This window comes from Homo sapiens, chromosome 1 (genome assembly GCF_000001405.40).
Source record: "Homo sapiens chromosome 1, GRCh38.p14 Primary Assembly".
NCBI classification, from domain to species: Eukaryota; Metazoa; Chordata; class Mammalia; order Primates; family Hominidae; genus Homo; species Homo sapiens.
This window is the reverse complement of record NC_000001.11, coordinates 89084081-89101386: the sequence shown is the minus strand read 5'-3', so window position 1 is coordinate 89101386 and position 17306 is coordinate 89084081. Positions and strand designations below refer to the sequence as shown.

Here is a 17306-nt window from a genome sequence, read left to right as displayed (position 1 = left end):
ATTGGATGGTTTTTCCTTTTCTGGTTTTTGTGAGAACATCGATTGATCTGAATTAGGAATTTTTCCATCTTTGTTTTTCTCTTGTAAGATGGGACAATCTTCTTTCCTATGTCCTATTAACAATATCCAAACATGTCCTTGTCAACAAGTCACTTGTTATAAAATGGGTAACCTAGCTGTTGGATTAGTAGTGCTACAAGTTTATTTTGGAACCTGCTTCATTTTTGTTCTAAAGCCCTTTCAAAATGCTGTGCCAGGTATTGTACTGCAGATAAAGGGGCTATTTCCATTCTAATTGGTTTTCAAATGTGGTCTCCAATTTCAGGCTTAACTCCATTGGCGAAATGAGATGAAAGAGTAGCTATTACATGGACATCTTCCTTAGCTTACAAATGTTGGAAGGTATTTTCTAGTCTATTCTGAAAATCTCCTATAGTTTCATCAGTTTGAATGACTGAATTACGGCCCAATTAATTTTTGTTGGAAATGTTTCAGGTCTGGCTTTTAGGAGACTTCAACCTACTCTTACAGCCTTTAAAAAAAAATTTTTTTTTGACCCTCAGATTTACTGTGGAAAGAAGGATTCTGTAGCTCCCTTTCCAGGAAAGCATAACCAGCTTTTGTCATCCAGGATTTAGCATTTCAGATTTTAACCAACATGACTACAAGTTGATATAGGTCACACATAGGTCAGTGTGTTAGACTGCTAGTGAGACAGCCAGGTGGGAGGGGGTCCTGGAGAAACTCCAACAAGCCAGGCTCCAACAAGCTGAGGTGGAGCCTGGGGAAATTCAGGACTTTTGCAGCAGGGAGGAGCCCGAGCCTGGCCCCTCCTCTTCCTGGGTGGAACCTCAGATTCAAGTGCCTGGCGGAAAGCCCTCTAGCAGAGGGACTCTGGCTTTGCGAGAGTCCCTATTTCCCCTCTTTTTTCCCTTTTCACCCAATAAAACCCTGCTTCACTCACCCTTTAAACCTCCTGGAAGCCTAAATTTTCATGTCCGTGGGGTGGACAAGAACCCCGTCTTTAGCTGAACTAAGGAAAAGTCCTGCAACACTAGGGCTGTCCGAAAAAAAAAACCCATATACTGGGTGGCTTAAACAACAGAAATTTATTTTCTCACAGTTCTAGAGGGTGGGAAGTGTTCTCTCCTTGGGCTGCAGATGGCTGCCTACTTACTGTGTCCTCATCTGGCCTTTCCTCTCTGCTTTTTCACAGACAAGAAGAGAAAGATCTCTTCTTCTTCTAATAAGGTCATTAATTCCATCTGGATGTCCTCACCCTCATGAGCTAATTTAACCCTAATTACATCCCAAAGAGCCCATCTCCAAATACTGTCACACTGGAAGTTAGGGCTTCAACAGTTGAGTTTGGGGGAACAAAGCAAAAACATTCCATCTATAACAATCAGGTAACCCTGGGTCATGTTCATCCAAAAGAATTCTAAATTCTATGAATATTTGCCAACCTTATTTGAGTTTAGGGAAATCTTTTATTAGAGTTCTTAATTCAGCTTAATTCAGTACAAAGTTTAAACTTTATAGTTCCCTTCGTACCTGGATCATGAGAAAGAATTTTTAGAAGTATCCACCAAAATAAGGCTGAGACAAAAAATTTGATAAAAGTATATTGGAAGACAAATATGAGGATAAATCCTGGAAGACATACCAACACAGTTGGGAGTTTTCCAGAATCTGCTACAAGTTGGAAGGCTTTTATAGGAACATATAGGAAAGTTTAGAAGAAGGGAAGAGGACTCTTCATGTTAGTATTTTTTACTCAGGGACAGGATGTTGCCATGAATTACAAGACCTCCCCAACATGGGTACCTTTGGAAGCCCGTTTACTTTTAAAGTAAACTGTCAAATGTGACCTGTATCAGAGGTCCTTGGCATTTGGGGGTTTCAGGAGAGTTGGGAAAAGCTAGAGGTCTGAGTAAGAGGAGGAAGGAGTATGAGGTGTTGAAGCAGGGAAATCAGAAATATAAGGGGGAATAGAGAAAGCTGAATATGGGGAGGTAGATGTAGGCAAAGAAGAGCAGGATTTACTAATAAAATTAGTCATTTGTTACTACTTAATTTTTTCAAATTGCTCATTGGCTTTGACCAATGAATTTGTTAGTGAAGCAGTTTTTTATTCAGAATTGCATTTGGAGACTTCTGCATATCAACCAAAAGTGCTACCCACTGGGCCAGAGAAATTTTATACTCTTTCTTTTTGAAGGTGCCTCTAAAATGAAGTTTTATTCAAGACAAATGTTCCTCAGAGTGACTTCTGAAGGACCGAGTCATCTTTGGTGCTAAAAACTCCCCACCTCTACATGCCTACATATCAGTTATTTTTCTCCTCAACTTCCTTAAATGACAAGAGCTAAGCCCTTTGGAGAGCTAGCAGCGGGGATCCCTTTCCTGTATGTTGCTCCCTTGACTTGCTCAGGCTGCAAGCCTATTAAATGTTGCCTGATAAAAATTTCTGTTTGGTCCAGTGTTAATTTCTATTTACACACGAGCCAAGAAATCAGGGTCCAAGCTGCAGTAACAAGATGACTTCATGAGACTGGTGACAGTCTGTAAGAAGGTAATGCCTGTGCACCTCATGTCTGGTGCCTCCAACCTGAAAGCTGACCCTCTCCAAATGTAGACCCAGTAATCTTCACTATCCAGCAGGAAGAACATTAGAAAAAAAAAATGTTCTATGGATGAAGCCTGGGCTCTGAGGACAAAAATTTAAATGGAAGAAGACGCTCATCTGGTTTTATTGGTGACTGACCCATAGCAAAATTTGTCCTAATGGATGCCAGTTCCATGAGGACTGAAAACTCACCACTCTGTGAGGCCAGAAAAGTCCAATACACTATCTGTAAGTCCAAAAGCGTGGACTATCTGTAAGATAACAGAGAATTGAACTGAACGGTAATGCCATGTCAAAAATTATGCAAATTTAATTCATTTAAAAATACTACATATGCTCATGGAACTCTACATGACAGAATCTGCCTTAGGCTCCCGGTTGAAGTCATTCCATTATAGAACAACAATATCTAGTTTAAAAAATTCACTGGAAAGTTTCAATCAAATATAAATTTAAAATGTTTAAATACATCTATAAATTGATCATAAAATGTGAATTTGAATACAAACATAGAAGAACTGCCAATACTAAAAAAAGGGTTTAGAATAAATGGAGCAACAGACCATGATCTAAAGTGAAAGCAAAGAAGTAAAAATATTAAATATCTATTGATCAATTTATATTGGCCTACTGTATCCAATACAATGCCAATGAAAATTTTGTAGGAACTTCATAATATGATCCTAGTTTCTGTTCAAAAATGGAAGGATGAGCCAAAACAATGTGTATTAGTCTGTTTCCATGCTGCTGATAAAGACATACCCAAGACTGGGCAATTTACAAAAGAAAGAGGTTTAATTGGACTTACAATTCCACGTGGCTGGGGAAGTCATGGCGGAAGGCAAGGAGGAGCAAATCACATCTTACATGGATGGCATCAGGCAAAGAGAGAACTTGTGCAGGGCAACTCCCATTTTTAAAACCATCAGATTTCATGAGACCCATTTACTGTCACAAGAACAGCATGGGAAAGACCTGCCCCCATTATTCAATCATCTCCCACCAGGTCCCTCCTACAATACATGGGAATTATGGGAGCTACAAGATGAGATTTGGGCAGGGACACAGAGCCAAACCATATCACAATGTATTGGAAAAAATTATAGTACCAGATAACACAACAAAATGTAAATTATAATCATTTTAAAGTATGGCACTGAGTATAATAAAAATCAGCAGACAATGGGACTAAATGGATGATCCAGAAAACATTTCAATACAAATAAGAACAACTCTCTAGCCATTATTAAAAAAAAATCTATTGTACATAACTGACATTAAAATAAGTACTTTAAATTTTTTTAATAAGAAAACTTATTGTAAATTGACAATGTATGATTGTATATATTTATAAAGTGCTAAGTAATGTTATGTTCATGAATACGATGTGGAATAATTAAATTAATAAACATACTCATCGCCTCAAATATTTGTCATTTTTGTGATAAGAACATTTGAAATTTACTCACCTAGCAAGTTTGAAATATGCAATATACCATTATTGACCATATTCACCATGCAGTGCAATAAATGTCAAAAAAAAAACCACACAAAACCTAATTACTCCTGTCTAAATTAAATTCTTTATCCTTTAACCATCATCTCTCCATTTCTCCCACGCTCACATTCTGGTAACTACCATTCTACTCTCTGCTTCTATTAATTCAGTTGTTTTAGAGTCCACATACAGGTGGGAATGTGTGGTATTTGTCAGTCTTCGCTTGGCTCATTTTGCCAGTTCCATCCATGTTGTCTCAAATGGCAGAAATGACTTGTTTTTAAGGCTGGATAATATTCCATTGTGTATATATACCACATTTTCTTTATCCATCCATCTGTTGAGAGGCACTTAGGTAGATTCCACAACTTGGCTATTGTGAATAAATGCTGCAATGAACATGGAAGTGCAGACATCTCTTCAATGTACTGATTTCAATTTCTTTAGATACAGACTCAAAAGTGGGATTGCTGCACCATATGGTAATTCTATTTTTTGATTTTTTTAGAAACATCCATATCGTTTTTCTTAATGACTGTACTAATTTACATTCCCATCAATAGTGTATCAGGGTTCCCTTTACTCCATATCATCACCAACAATTGTTATCTTTCATCTTTTTGATAATAACCATTCTGACAGGTGTGAGGTGATATCTTATTGTGGTTTTGATTTGCATTTTTCTGATGATTAGTGATGGTGAGCATTATTTCATGTATCTATTGGCCATATGTATGTCTTCATTTGAGAAATGTCTATTTAGGTTCCTTGCCCATTTTTAAAATTGGATTATTTGTTTTCTTGCTAGTGAGCTGTTTGATTGTCTTATATGTTTTGGGTACTAAGATGTTACCAGATACATGCTTTCCAAATATTTTCTCCCAATCCATAGGTTGTTTGTTCACCCTGTTCGTTGTTTCACTTTATGTATAGAAGCTTTTAGTTTGATGTAGTCTTATTTGTCTATTTTTGTTTTTGTTGCCTGAATTTTGTGAGTAAAATTAAAAAAATCATTGTTCTAATCAATGTCATATCATTTGTCCCACGTTTTCTTCTAGTCACTTTTCAATTTCAAGTTTTATATTTAAGTCTTTACTCCTTTTTAAGTTCATTGTTATATGGTGTGAGATAAGGGTCCAATTTTGTTCCTCTGCGTGTGGATATTCAGCTTTCCCAACACTCTTCATTGAAGAGACTATTCTTTTTCAACTGTGTATTCTTAGCACCTTTGTTGAAAATGAATTGACTGTACATGGGTGGGTTCACTTCTGGATCCTCTATTCTGTTCCATTGAGCAAAGTGTCTATTTTTAGGCCAGTACCATACTGTTTTAATAACAATAGCTTTGTAGTATAGTTTGCAGTCAGGTAGTGTGATACCTCCAGATTTGTTTCTTATGATCATGATTTCCTTGGCTATTTGGGAGTTTTCTGTAACTCAACGTAAATTTTAGGATTTTTTTCTATTTTTGTGAAATAGACATTGGAATTTTGATAAGAATTGCAATGAACCTGTAGATCACTTTGGGTAGCAATCTGAACATTTTAACCATATTCTTCCAATCCATGAATATGGAATATTTTTCCATTTATTTATGTCTTCTTCAATTTCTTTTATCAACATTTTTTAAGGTTTTAGTGTACAAGTCTTTTACCTCCTTTGTTAAATTTATTTCTAAGTATTTTGTTTTATTTTATTTTATTTTATTTTATTTTATTTTTGTAGCTATCATAAGTGAGATTATTTTCTTGGTTTCTTTTTTAGATAGTTTGATGATAATATATAGAAATTCTACCTAATTCTCGGATGTTGATTTTGTATTCTGAAACTTTAATGTATTTATTTATTACTTCTGATAGTGTCTTGCTGAAGTTTTAGGTATACATACATAGAATAATTAGCAAACAGAAAAAATCTCACTTTATTCTTTCCTATTTGGATGCTTTTTATTTCTTTCTCTTTCCTAATTGCTCTAGCAAGGTCATCCAATACTGTGTTGAATACAAATGGTGAGAATAAGCATCCTTGTTTTGTGCAAGATTTTAGATAAAAGGCTTTCAATTTTTCATGCTTGAGTATAAAGTAAGCTACAGGATTATGGTATATTAATATGTTCTTTATGGTATTGAGTTACATTATTTCTATACCTACTTTGTTGAGAATTTCATTATGAAAGCATGCTGAATTTTATCAAATACTTTTTCTGCATTTAATAAAATGATCATATGGCTTTTGTCTTTCATTGTGTTGATGAGATGTATCACATTTATTGTTTTGCATATATGGAACCATCTTACTTCTCAGGGATAAATCCCACTTGGTCATGTTGAGTGATACTTTTAATGTGTTGTTGAATTTGGTTTGTTTATATTTTGTTGAGGACTTTTGCATGTGTATTCATCAAGGATATTGGCCTATAATTTTCTTCTCTTGTAATGTCCTTGTTCAACTTTGGTATCAGGGTAATGCCGGACTTGTAAAAAGAGTTTTAAAGTATTCCCTTCCCTTCAATATTTTGGAAGAGTTTGAGAAGAAGTAGTATTATTTCTTCTTTAAACGTTTGGTAGAATGCAACATTAAAGACAGCACATCCTGGGCTTTTCTTTGATGGGAGACTTATTATTACTGATTCAATATCCTTACATGTTATTGGTCTATTAAGGTTTTCCGTTTCTTCATAATTCAATATTTGTAGGTTGCATGTGTCTAGGAATGTATCCATTTCTCCTAGGTTATCCACTTTTTTGGCATGTAGTTGTTCATGGTAGTCTTTTCTGATCCCTTGTATTTCTGTACTATAGGTTGTAATGTCTCTTCTTTCGTTGTGATTTTGATTCTTCTTTTTAGTATAGATAAATATTTGTTGATTTTCTTTATCTTTTTAAAAAGCCAATTCTTAGTTTTATTGATCTTTTATATTGCTTTTCTAGTTTCTATTTTATTTATTTCTGCCTGGTCTTTATTAATTCCTTCAGCTTACATTGGGCTTAGTTTATTCTGCTTTTTCTACTTTCTGGTGGAGTAACATTGAGTTGTTTATTATAGATCTTTTTTTGATATGGTTTCTGTTTCTATAAACTTTTCTGTTAGAACTATTTTTGCTGGATTCCATAAGTTTTAATATGTTGTGTTTCCATTTTTATTTGTCTCAAGATATTTTTAAATTTCTCTTTTAATTTGATCATTGACCCATTGGTTGTTCAGGAGCATGTTGTTTGATTTCTATGTATTTGGGAATTTTCTGAAATTATTCCTGTTATTGACTTCTAGTTTTATACCATTATTGTCAGAAAAGATACTTGGTATGATTAAAATTTCTTAAATTTGTTAGGACTTGTTTTGTAGCCTAATGTGTGATCTATTTTAGTGATGATCCATGTGTCATTGCGAAGAATATGTGTTATGTTGCTGTTAGGTGGAATATTCTGTATATGTTTATTAAGTTAACTTGGTCCGAAGTATTATTCAAGTCCAATGTTTCAGTCTTAATTTTCTGATTGGATGATTTGTCCATTGTTGAAACCGGAGCACTAAAGTCCTCTACTGTTATTGTATTGCAATCTTTCTCTACCTTCAGATCATTTAATATTTGCTTTATACATTTAGATGCTTTGATGTTGAGTGAATATATAGTTGACCCTTCAACAGTACAAGGGCTATGGACACCGTCTCACCACACAAACAAAAATCTATGTATAATATTTGACTTCCCCAAAACTTAACTACTAATATCCTACTATTGACCAGAAGCCTTACCAATAATATAAAGAATTGATTAACCCATTTTTATATACGTATTATATTCTGTATTCTTATAATGAAGTAAGCTAGAGAAAACAAAATGTTATTAAGAAAATCATAAGAAGGGGGGACATGGTGGCTTATGCCTATTATTCTAACACTTTGAGAAGCCAGGATGGGAGGATCTCTTGAAACCAGAAGTTCAACGCTAGCCTGGCCAACAAAGCAAGACCCCTTCTCTACAAAGAAAAAAAAAATTAGCTGGGTACAAAGGTGTGTGCCTGTAGTCCTAGCTACTTGGGAGGCTGAGGTAGGAGGATTACTTGAGCCCAGGAGTTCAAGGCTGCAGTGAGCTGATTATGTCACTGTACTCCAGCCGTGGGAATGGTAAGACCCTGTCTCTTAAATTTTTTTAAGAAAATAATAAAGAAGAAAAATTTATTTACTGTTCATTAAGTAGAAGTGGATAATCATAAACATCTCCATCATTATTGGAAATACTTTTTGTTTCTTTCTTCCTCTATTGCTGTCTTTCTTTGAGTTTTCATGAATTTATGTAGTAGTATGTATTGAATCATTTGTTTTTGTTTTGTGCATCTATTACAGACTTTTGCTTTGTGATTACTATGAATATAAAACATTTAACTTATAACAGTCTATTTCAAGCTGATAACAACTTTGATTTCATGCGACAACTCTAACTTTACTCACCCCACCATACACACATTTTGTTTTGGATGTCAGAATTTTCATCATTTTGTAATACGTATCCCTTGATAATGTATTTTAGCTGTAGTTGTTATTAATAGTTTTATTTAAAAATAGCTCACATGCTTCCCCTAAATAGGCAAGGTGGGCATCTTTTCCCTTGGGTGAGACCATGGGGAAGGCGTTCTGGCTGAGTGGAACCACTGTTTGTCCTCCTGAGTTAAGCAAAACTAGCTGTTATTCTTCACCAAAATGCACAGAAGATGGTGTCTCCCTGCCTAGGCAGGTCTTTGGGATCGGCTCTGATAATGGGCTTGAAGACAAGCCATCTAGGGACTCAAGCCAGTTTGAACGTCCCACCAGGCTTCTGAAAGCAACCAGATCAGCTTTCTACATGGGCTACACTGGTTCCTGATATCTCCAACTGGGCATCACAGCTAGCAGAAACAGAAGTACCACCAAAGACTGCAAGCTGGTCACTGTGAACTACACACCGTGCTTCTAAAAGCAACCAGCTCAGCTTTATGCATGGGCTATGCTGGTGGCTGATATCTCCAATTGGGTAACACAGCTGGCAGGAACACAGAGGTACCACCAAAGACTGCTACTCTCAGTGTTTTCCATGTGGTTAGACCAGAGTGAACTTGGGAAGACTCTCAGAATGCTAGGGAAGCTGACAGACCACCTCCAATTTTCTTTTTCCTCTGTAAAAACCATGGACCCAGGCCGGGTGCGGTGGCTCACTCCTGTAATCCCAGCACTTTGGGAGGCCGAGGCGGGCGGATCACGAGGTCAGGAGATCGAGACCATCCTGGCTAACACGGTGAAACCCCGTCTCTACTAAAAATACAAAAAATTAGCCGGGCATGCTGGCGGGCGCCTGTAGTCCCAGCTACTCGGGAGGCTGAGGCAGGAGAATGGCGTGAACCCAGGAGGCGGAGCTTGCAGTGAGCCGAGATCGCGCCACTGCACTCCAGAATCGGCGACAGAGAGAGACTCTGTCTCAAAAAAAAAAAAAAAAAAAAAAAACAAAAAACAAAATGGACCCAAGGAATCCCCTCTGTGTGGTATTGTGCTGACGTGAGGGAATAGGAGGGGCAGCGTGGTCAAAGTGAGACCATTTTTCTTACCCTTCTAATTCAGTTTTACTCAGTTCTGTGGACCCTCAGGTGTTTTAGGCTTGTTTCCAAGTACTGTACTGGGACTTTCACAAACATCTTCCAGTCTATGGTTAATCGCTAGTTGAAATTTCTGAAGGAGAGAGTGAAGCCTGAAATATATTTCATCATCTCGCTGATCTCATTTCTCAAAATAAGTCCTTGATGAATAAAAGTTTCTGTGATTACTGGGTATATACCCAAAGGATTATAAATCAATCTACTATAAAGACACATGCACACATACGTTTATTGCAGCACTATTTACAATAGCAAGGACTTGGAACCAACCCAAATGCCCATCAATGATAGACTGGATAAAGAAAATGTGGCACGTATACACCATGGAATACTTGATAGGTGCAGCAAACCGCCATGGCACATGTATACCTATGTAACAAACCTGCAGGTTCTGCACATGTATTCCAGAACTTAAAGTAAAAAGAAAGAAAACACCAAAAAATAGCTTTCTTTAGTTCAAGGGGATTAAATAGAAATCTGTCTTCACTGTTTCATTAGCTCTAGTGGTAGACATTAAATCTCCTTCTTGGAATTAAATGTCTTATGAATGTGTAAACACAGAAAAAAATATTTTTGGTGAACATTTTCTTGAATAACTTTGTGTTTCTAATGTGATAATCTGTATGTTATCTTTAAACCACTTAAAAGTATCTTTGGGCTGAAAAAAGAAGACAGACAAAGATCTGTTTCAGTTCTGAAATGCTATGATATCACACTTCAAGCTTTTTTCTTAAATAGCCTTAAGAGCCCTTAACACACTTTTTTTTCCCTAAAGTCAACGGAGATGTCTCATATCTTTTATCCATTAAGAATCTTTTTAAATTATCCACTACCAAACTTTATGATAATTGTCAGTAACCAATTCACCATCAATTTTAGACATATACAATGTGACAAGATATGAAGTAAAACTCTTCTCCCAGGACTCATAACCTGCCTTTGAAGGTAAACGCTGAAGGGTGCCCTAAATTTCTTTTATAAAAAATAATATTATTGGAATATTCACACAAAGTTACTACTTTAAAGACAAAAAAATTAGCGTGGTCTATAAATTATGTAGGTTTGTTAAAATAAATATTGCTGCTGTAGAAAGAAGATAGGATCACTAGTGCAAACAAGGGTGAGAAAGAACAGTGGAGAAAGAAGGAGAGAAATCTGCATTCAAAAACCAATTCTACAACCTACTAGTTGCCTCACCTCAGAAAGTTACATACCTTTTAAGCGTCATTCTTCTCATATATTTGTTGTGAGAATGATGAAGAAAGATATGAAAAACACTTATTATAACTAGGTTCTTTTACCTTAATACTGAAATAAACAGACTCTTAATACAGAAAAAAAAAAGTGTCCGTTGTATAGAAATGGCCTTAGGATTGAACAGAAAGACAAGAAACATCTGTCCTAAAGCAAGATGCTATCAGCTTGAATTCCTTTGAACTCTCCATTCCAGTCACAGCTGGGATGAGAGGAGACATTGAGAGGATGAGTCAGTGTATCAGATGCATCTGACACAGTTCACCCCTTCAGCACTCTGATCACTGTGCCTGCCCTACATTAAATTCAGTCTGTTACCAAGTCCTCAAGTTCATAACCAGCTACAGTTCTACAAAAAACTTAATACACAGGAGTTGGTGGCACATACCACAGTTTGCTCCTGCAACTTCAATCAAAGGCAGAATTGACGTTCATCCTATCCCTCCCCTACCACTTATTTTATATTTCCTTCCCTTTGTCATCACAAGTAGACATTTCATTTAAACTATTTTTAACAACATTAATCTTATTTCTTCTAACTATATTTTTGTACCCATATTTCAAAAAACTAAAAGAGTGGAATTGGAATATTCCGAACACAAAGAAATGATAAATGCTTGAGGTGAAGGATATCCCAATTATCCTGATTTGATCATTGCATATTTTATTTTTGTATCAAAATATCACATGTAACCCATAAATGCATACAACTATTATGTATCCATAAAGAATAAAAATTAAGAAAATGCACATTGATCTGTGTGCATAATACACTCTTCTTCATGATGAATCCAAAAAGAAAATATAACTTGAAAATACCTTAGTATTTAACATTTTCAGTACTATGAGGTCAGCTTATTCCCTTATAAAAGAGAATAAGATCCATATAGCACATTCTGTTTATTTAGTGATGTTTTTAAAGAGTGCACACATCTTTAATCCTTACTTTTCATAATAGCTATATTATCATAGCACAGAGTCAGACTAATCCCACAAATCCTGTTCAATGGCATGTTACAATCAACTAGAATTTGTTTCATTTGTTGAATATAGTCAGATAAATAATTTGAGTTAGAAAAAATATTTCAAGATTTTTTGTAATAGTGTTAGCTTGTAAGAATCAAGGATCAGTATTTATCCAATCTGGTATAAAATCTAATAAGGAAGTAGTTTTTAGAACCTGCTTTATTTATTTAACATTTCACTTTCTATGTGCCTATTTCTATTTCAATTAAGTCTTCATAATTTATTTTGGATACAATTGTCATATTTATTTTCACACACTGCCATTTTTCCAAGTACTCATGAGAGAATGGATCAAATTCAGCAAACGGTTTGATGATTCTCATAAGATTTTTATTATTTAAAGAGTGCCAGTTGAGGGGAGGGACCAAGATGGCCGAATAGGAACAGCACCGGTCTGCAGCACCGTGAAACCCACGCAGAAGGCAAGTGATTTCTGCATTTCCAACTGAGGTACCCAGTTCATCTCATTGGGACGGTTAAGCAGTGGGTTCAACCAACTGAGGGCGAACAGAAGCAGGGTGGGGCGTTGCTTCACCCAGGAAGTGCAAGAAGCCGGGGACCTCCCACCCGCAGCCAAGGGAACTATGCAAACAGGAGGGAACTGATAACCCATGGACACATTTATTAACATTCCTTCCTCCTCTGGGTGAGAGGCCCACAAGTATCTGTAGGCTCAGGCATCCAAACACTATTATTAACATAAACCTCAACCGGAGGTTCCAACCATGTGACAGCCCTACTCAAATATAGTATGGATTATCAGTTAAACGAGCTGTTTAATTTGTTACAACAAACTGTAAGAAAAAGAAATTTCCCATTTTGTATTACTCATATTCGAGCACACCCTAATTTACCATGGCCTTTGGCTAAAGCAAATGAACAAGCTGACTTGCTAGTATCATCTGCATTCATGGAAGCACAAGAACTTCATGCCTTGACTCATGTAAATGCAGCAGGATTAAAAATAAATTTGATATCACATGGAAACAGCCAAAAAATATTGTACAAGATTGCACCCGGTGTCAGATTCTACACCTGCCCACTCAGGAGGCAGGAGTTAATCCCAGAGGTCTAAGTCCTAATGTGTTATGGCAAATGGATGTCACGCATGTACCTTCATTTGGAAAATTGTCATTTGTCCATGTGACAGTTGATACTTATTCACATTTCATATGGGCAACCTGCCAGAGAGGAGAAAGTACTTCCCATGTTAAAAGACATTTATTATCTTGTTTTGCTGTCATGAGAGTTAAAAAAAAAAATTAAAATGGACAATGGGCCAGGATACTGTAGTAAAGCTTTTCAAAAATTCTTAAATCAGTGAAAAATTACACATAAAACAGGAATTCCCTATAATTCCCAAAGACAGGCCATAATTTAAAGAACTAATAGAACACTGAAAGCTCAATTGGTTAAACAAAAAAAAAAAAGGAAGAAACAGTAAGGAGTATTAACACTCCCCAGATGCAACTTAATCTAATACTCTATACTTTAAATTTTTTGAACATTTATAGAAATCAGACCATTACCCCTGCAGAACATCTAACTGGTAAAAGGAACAGCCCACATGAAGGAAAACTGATTTGGTAGAAAGATAATAAAAATAAAACATGGGAAACACGGAAAGTGATGACATGTGGGAGAGGTTTTGCTTGTATTTCCCCAGGAAAAAAACACCTTCCAGTTTAGGTACCTACAACTTACAGATAAAGTTGTCATCCACCAAGAAAGCGGAGCCGCCGACTTGGGCACAATTAAAGAAGCTGACACAGTTAGCTGAAAAAAGCCTAAAGAACACAAGGGTAATCCAAACTCCAGAGAATATGCAGCTTGCAGCCTTGATGATTGTGTCAACGGTGGTAAGTCTCCCCAGGCCTGCAGGAGCAACTGCAGCTAATTATGCCTATTGGGCATATGTCCCATTCCTGCCTTTAATTAGGCCTGTCACATGGTTGGAAACCCCGGTTGAGGTTTACGTTCATAGTAGTGTTTGGATGCCTGAGCCTACAGATTCTCGTGGGCCCTCTCACCCAGAGGAGGAAGGAATGTTAATAAATGTGTCCGTGGGTTATCAATTCCCCCCTGTTTGCATAGGGCTGGCTATCTGTTGCCTAAAAGGCTACCGACAACATTGGCTAGTTAAGATTCCAGGTCATAATCAAAGACCAGTATCCTGTCATTTATTTTACAAAGTTTGGTTCAATTGGAACAGTTTAAGCCCAGAAAAGAGAGGTGTCAACAACCTCAATAATGGTCAAAGGATTTAGAAACATTGATTTGGAAGGATTGCATCACTGATCACACTGTGGTACTGCAAAATAATCCCTATGGAATCATCATTGATTGGGCCCCTAAGGGGACCTTTGCAGTTAATTGTACCAATCAGAATGATAGATGCAAGATAGGACTAAACCAAGAACTATATTATCAAAGAGATGACACCATTTACACTGAAAAACGTGCTCATTTTCCCATAATTTGGACCAATTTTGGTATGGCCGACCCACATCCAAAAATGAGTAATCCAATCATAGACCCTAAACATCCTGAATTATGAAAGTTAATGATGGCCCAATCTCATATTCGGGTTTGGAAAAAAAAATTATATTAATGGAGAAGGTGGGAGACATCAATTTACGTATCAGTTTTGTTCCAGCCAAACAATACCCATTCAGAGTTGTGTCAAGCCTCCTTTAATGTTAATTGTCAGAAATATTAATATTCGACCAAATTCTCAAACCATTACTTGTCAAAACTGTTGCCTTTTCATCTGTATTGATTGCACATTTGGTGTAAAAACATCTGTGTTGCTGGTGAGGGCTAGAGAAGGAGTTTGGATACCGGTTTCCCTCAATAGACCTTGGGGAGCCTCTCCTTCCATTCATATTGTCACAGAAATGTTAAGGGGACTGTTTACCAAAACAAAAAGATTTATTTTTACCCTTATAACGGTCATTATGGGCCTTATTACAGTCACAGGTACTGCTGCGGCTGCTGGAATTGCTTTACACTCCTCTGTTCAAACTGCGGAATATGTAAATGATTGGCAAAAAAATTCCTTAATAAAAGATCACACATTTACACATTATAACAAATTTTATGCTCTGAAAACATTTTTAGAAAGAGCATATATTTACATATGTTTGGGAAAGGTATCTTGATATTAAATAATTAATTGACAGTGTTACATTTTCAATGTTCAAAATGAGCTAAGACTTTTATGTACATTATCTTATATCAGCCTCACTAAACTATACAAACTGGATATTGATGTGCTCAATGAGAAGACAATGGAATAAGGCATGGAGAGCTCACAAAGCTGAGGAGTGGCAAAGTTGCTTTCCATATGTGATATGACAGCACCTCCCTCTAGTGGTGACACCATGCTTTTCCTCCATATTCCTGATGTGACAAAGCTCAGAGTCACAGATTTGATGCCCTTTATTCTTATTTTTTGCTTCCAAATCATTTATCCTCTTTATTTAGCTTTTTCTTACAGTATGAACACTAGACAAAAACAGTTAAGTCATTTGCTTAGTATATGGTGTCAATAAAGCATGGTCTGACAACATTTATTTTTATTTATTTTCCAACTTTTAAGTTCAGGGGTACATGTGCAAGCATTATATAGGTAGATTGCATGTCACAGGGATTTGGTATATAAATGATTTCATCACCCAGGTAATCAGCATAGTACTTGATAGGTAGTTTTCAACCCTCACTCTCATCCCTCAACCCTCAAGAAGGCCCTGGTGTCTGCTGTTCCTTTCTTTGTGTCCCTATGTAATAAATGTTTGGCTCCAACTTATAAGCGAGAACTTGTGGTATTTGGATTTATGTTCCTGTGTTAGTTTGCTTAGGATAATGAACTCCATCTCCATCCATGTTGCTGCAAAGGACACAATCTCAATCTTTTTTATGGCTGCATAGTATTCTGACAATACTTATTTAGACCATATTTATTTTATACAGATACAAAATGCTATGTAATTTATTTTATGTCCTCTCATCCTGAATAGACATTTTATAGACATATGTGAAATATCAAAAGAGACATTAGGCAAAGTACTAATGATACCAACATAAAAGATAACATTATTACATATTTTGTGCTCTGAAAACATTTTTAGAAGGAGCATACATTCAAATACTAAGTTTGGGAAATGTGTTTTAATACTTAATTGAAAGTGTTACTAAGTTTTCAAAGTTCAAAATGAGCCTCTAATAATGTGTTAAGACTTTTATGTACATTATCCCAATTCAGCCTCACAAAATAATATGAATTAGGTATTGATGTGCTTATTGAGAAGATGATGAAAGGAGGCATAGAGAACTCACAAAGCTGATGACTGGCAGAGTTGCTTTCCATATGCAATATGCCAGCACCTTTCTCAAGTGTTGACACCATGCTTTTCCTCCATATTCCTAATTTGACAGAGCTTGAAGTGACAGATTAAATGCCCTTCTTCCTCTTCATTGTTGCTTCCGGATAACTTACCCTCTTTCTTTAGCTCCTCAACCCACCAGAAAACCACAAAACAACAACAAAACAAACACATAAAGTGAAGCACATGTCATCAGGCTGTACTACTCAAAACTCCTTTGTGCTAGGCATCCTGGATCTCCCAGGATGCCTTTATTCACTGAATATTTTAACAACTGACCCTTTCTCTCCTTACCATTACTCTTGTTGATCTTTGGGCCCTTTCAGATATGGTAGACAAGCATCTCCCCAGCCTCTCAGTTCCTTGACCTCCTAATAGCTGAAAGTCTTTTCTATCATCTCACCTCAGCCTGAAACTTTTCCTTACCAGTAACTAAACCTCCTCCATAATCTCAATATCAAGAGTCCCACACAATCAGTCCCTCTCATGACCTGCCTGCTCCATGCTGATAGGTCGAATGGTCAATTCTCCATCCTCATTTTATTTTATGTCTCAGCAATATGACAAAGATAATTATCCCCCTTCTTCCTAGATTCTTGTGAACTTTAGAAACTATGAGACAATAAACGTTTCAGTTCACTACATTTAGAGGGTATTTCTTATGCAATATCAGATAATTAATACAGAAACTTTTACCTGACTTGGAAGAGCATAGATTGTTACTGTCTGTTTTGTTGTTATTGTTGTTGTTGTTGTTGTTTTCAGACAGAATCTCTCCCCGTCACCCAGGCTGGAATGCAATGGTACAATCGCAGCTCACTGCAACCTTCGCCTCCCAGATTCAAGCGATTCTCCTGCCTCAGCCTCCCGAGTAGCTGGAATTACAG

General features: G+C 36.5%; 1 long non-coding RNA gene across 1 annotated transcript in view; it reads right to left on the bottom strand.

Moving 5' to 3' along the window:
• Positions 1–1901: 1901 nt before the first annotated feature.
• Positions 1902–17306, bottom strand: part of LOC105378841 (uncharacterized) — a 57743-nt gene continuing 42338 nt past the window's right edge. Inside the window, exon 5 of the long non-coding RNA XR_947575.3 lies at positions 1902–2880. This is a non-coding gene — a long non-coding RNA (uncharacterized LOC105378841). The remainder of the gene's footprint in view (positions 2881–17306) is intronic.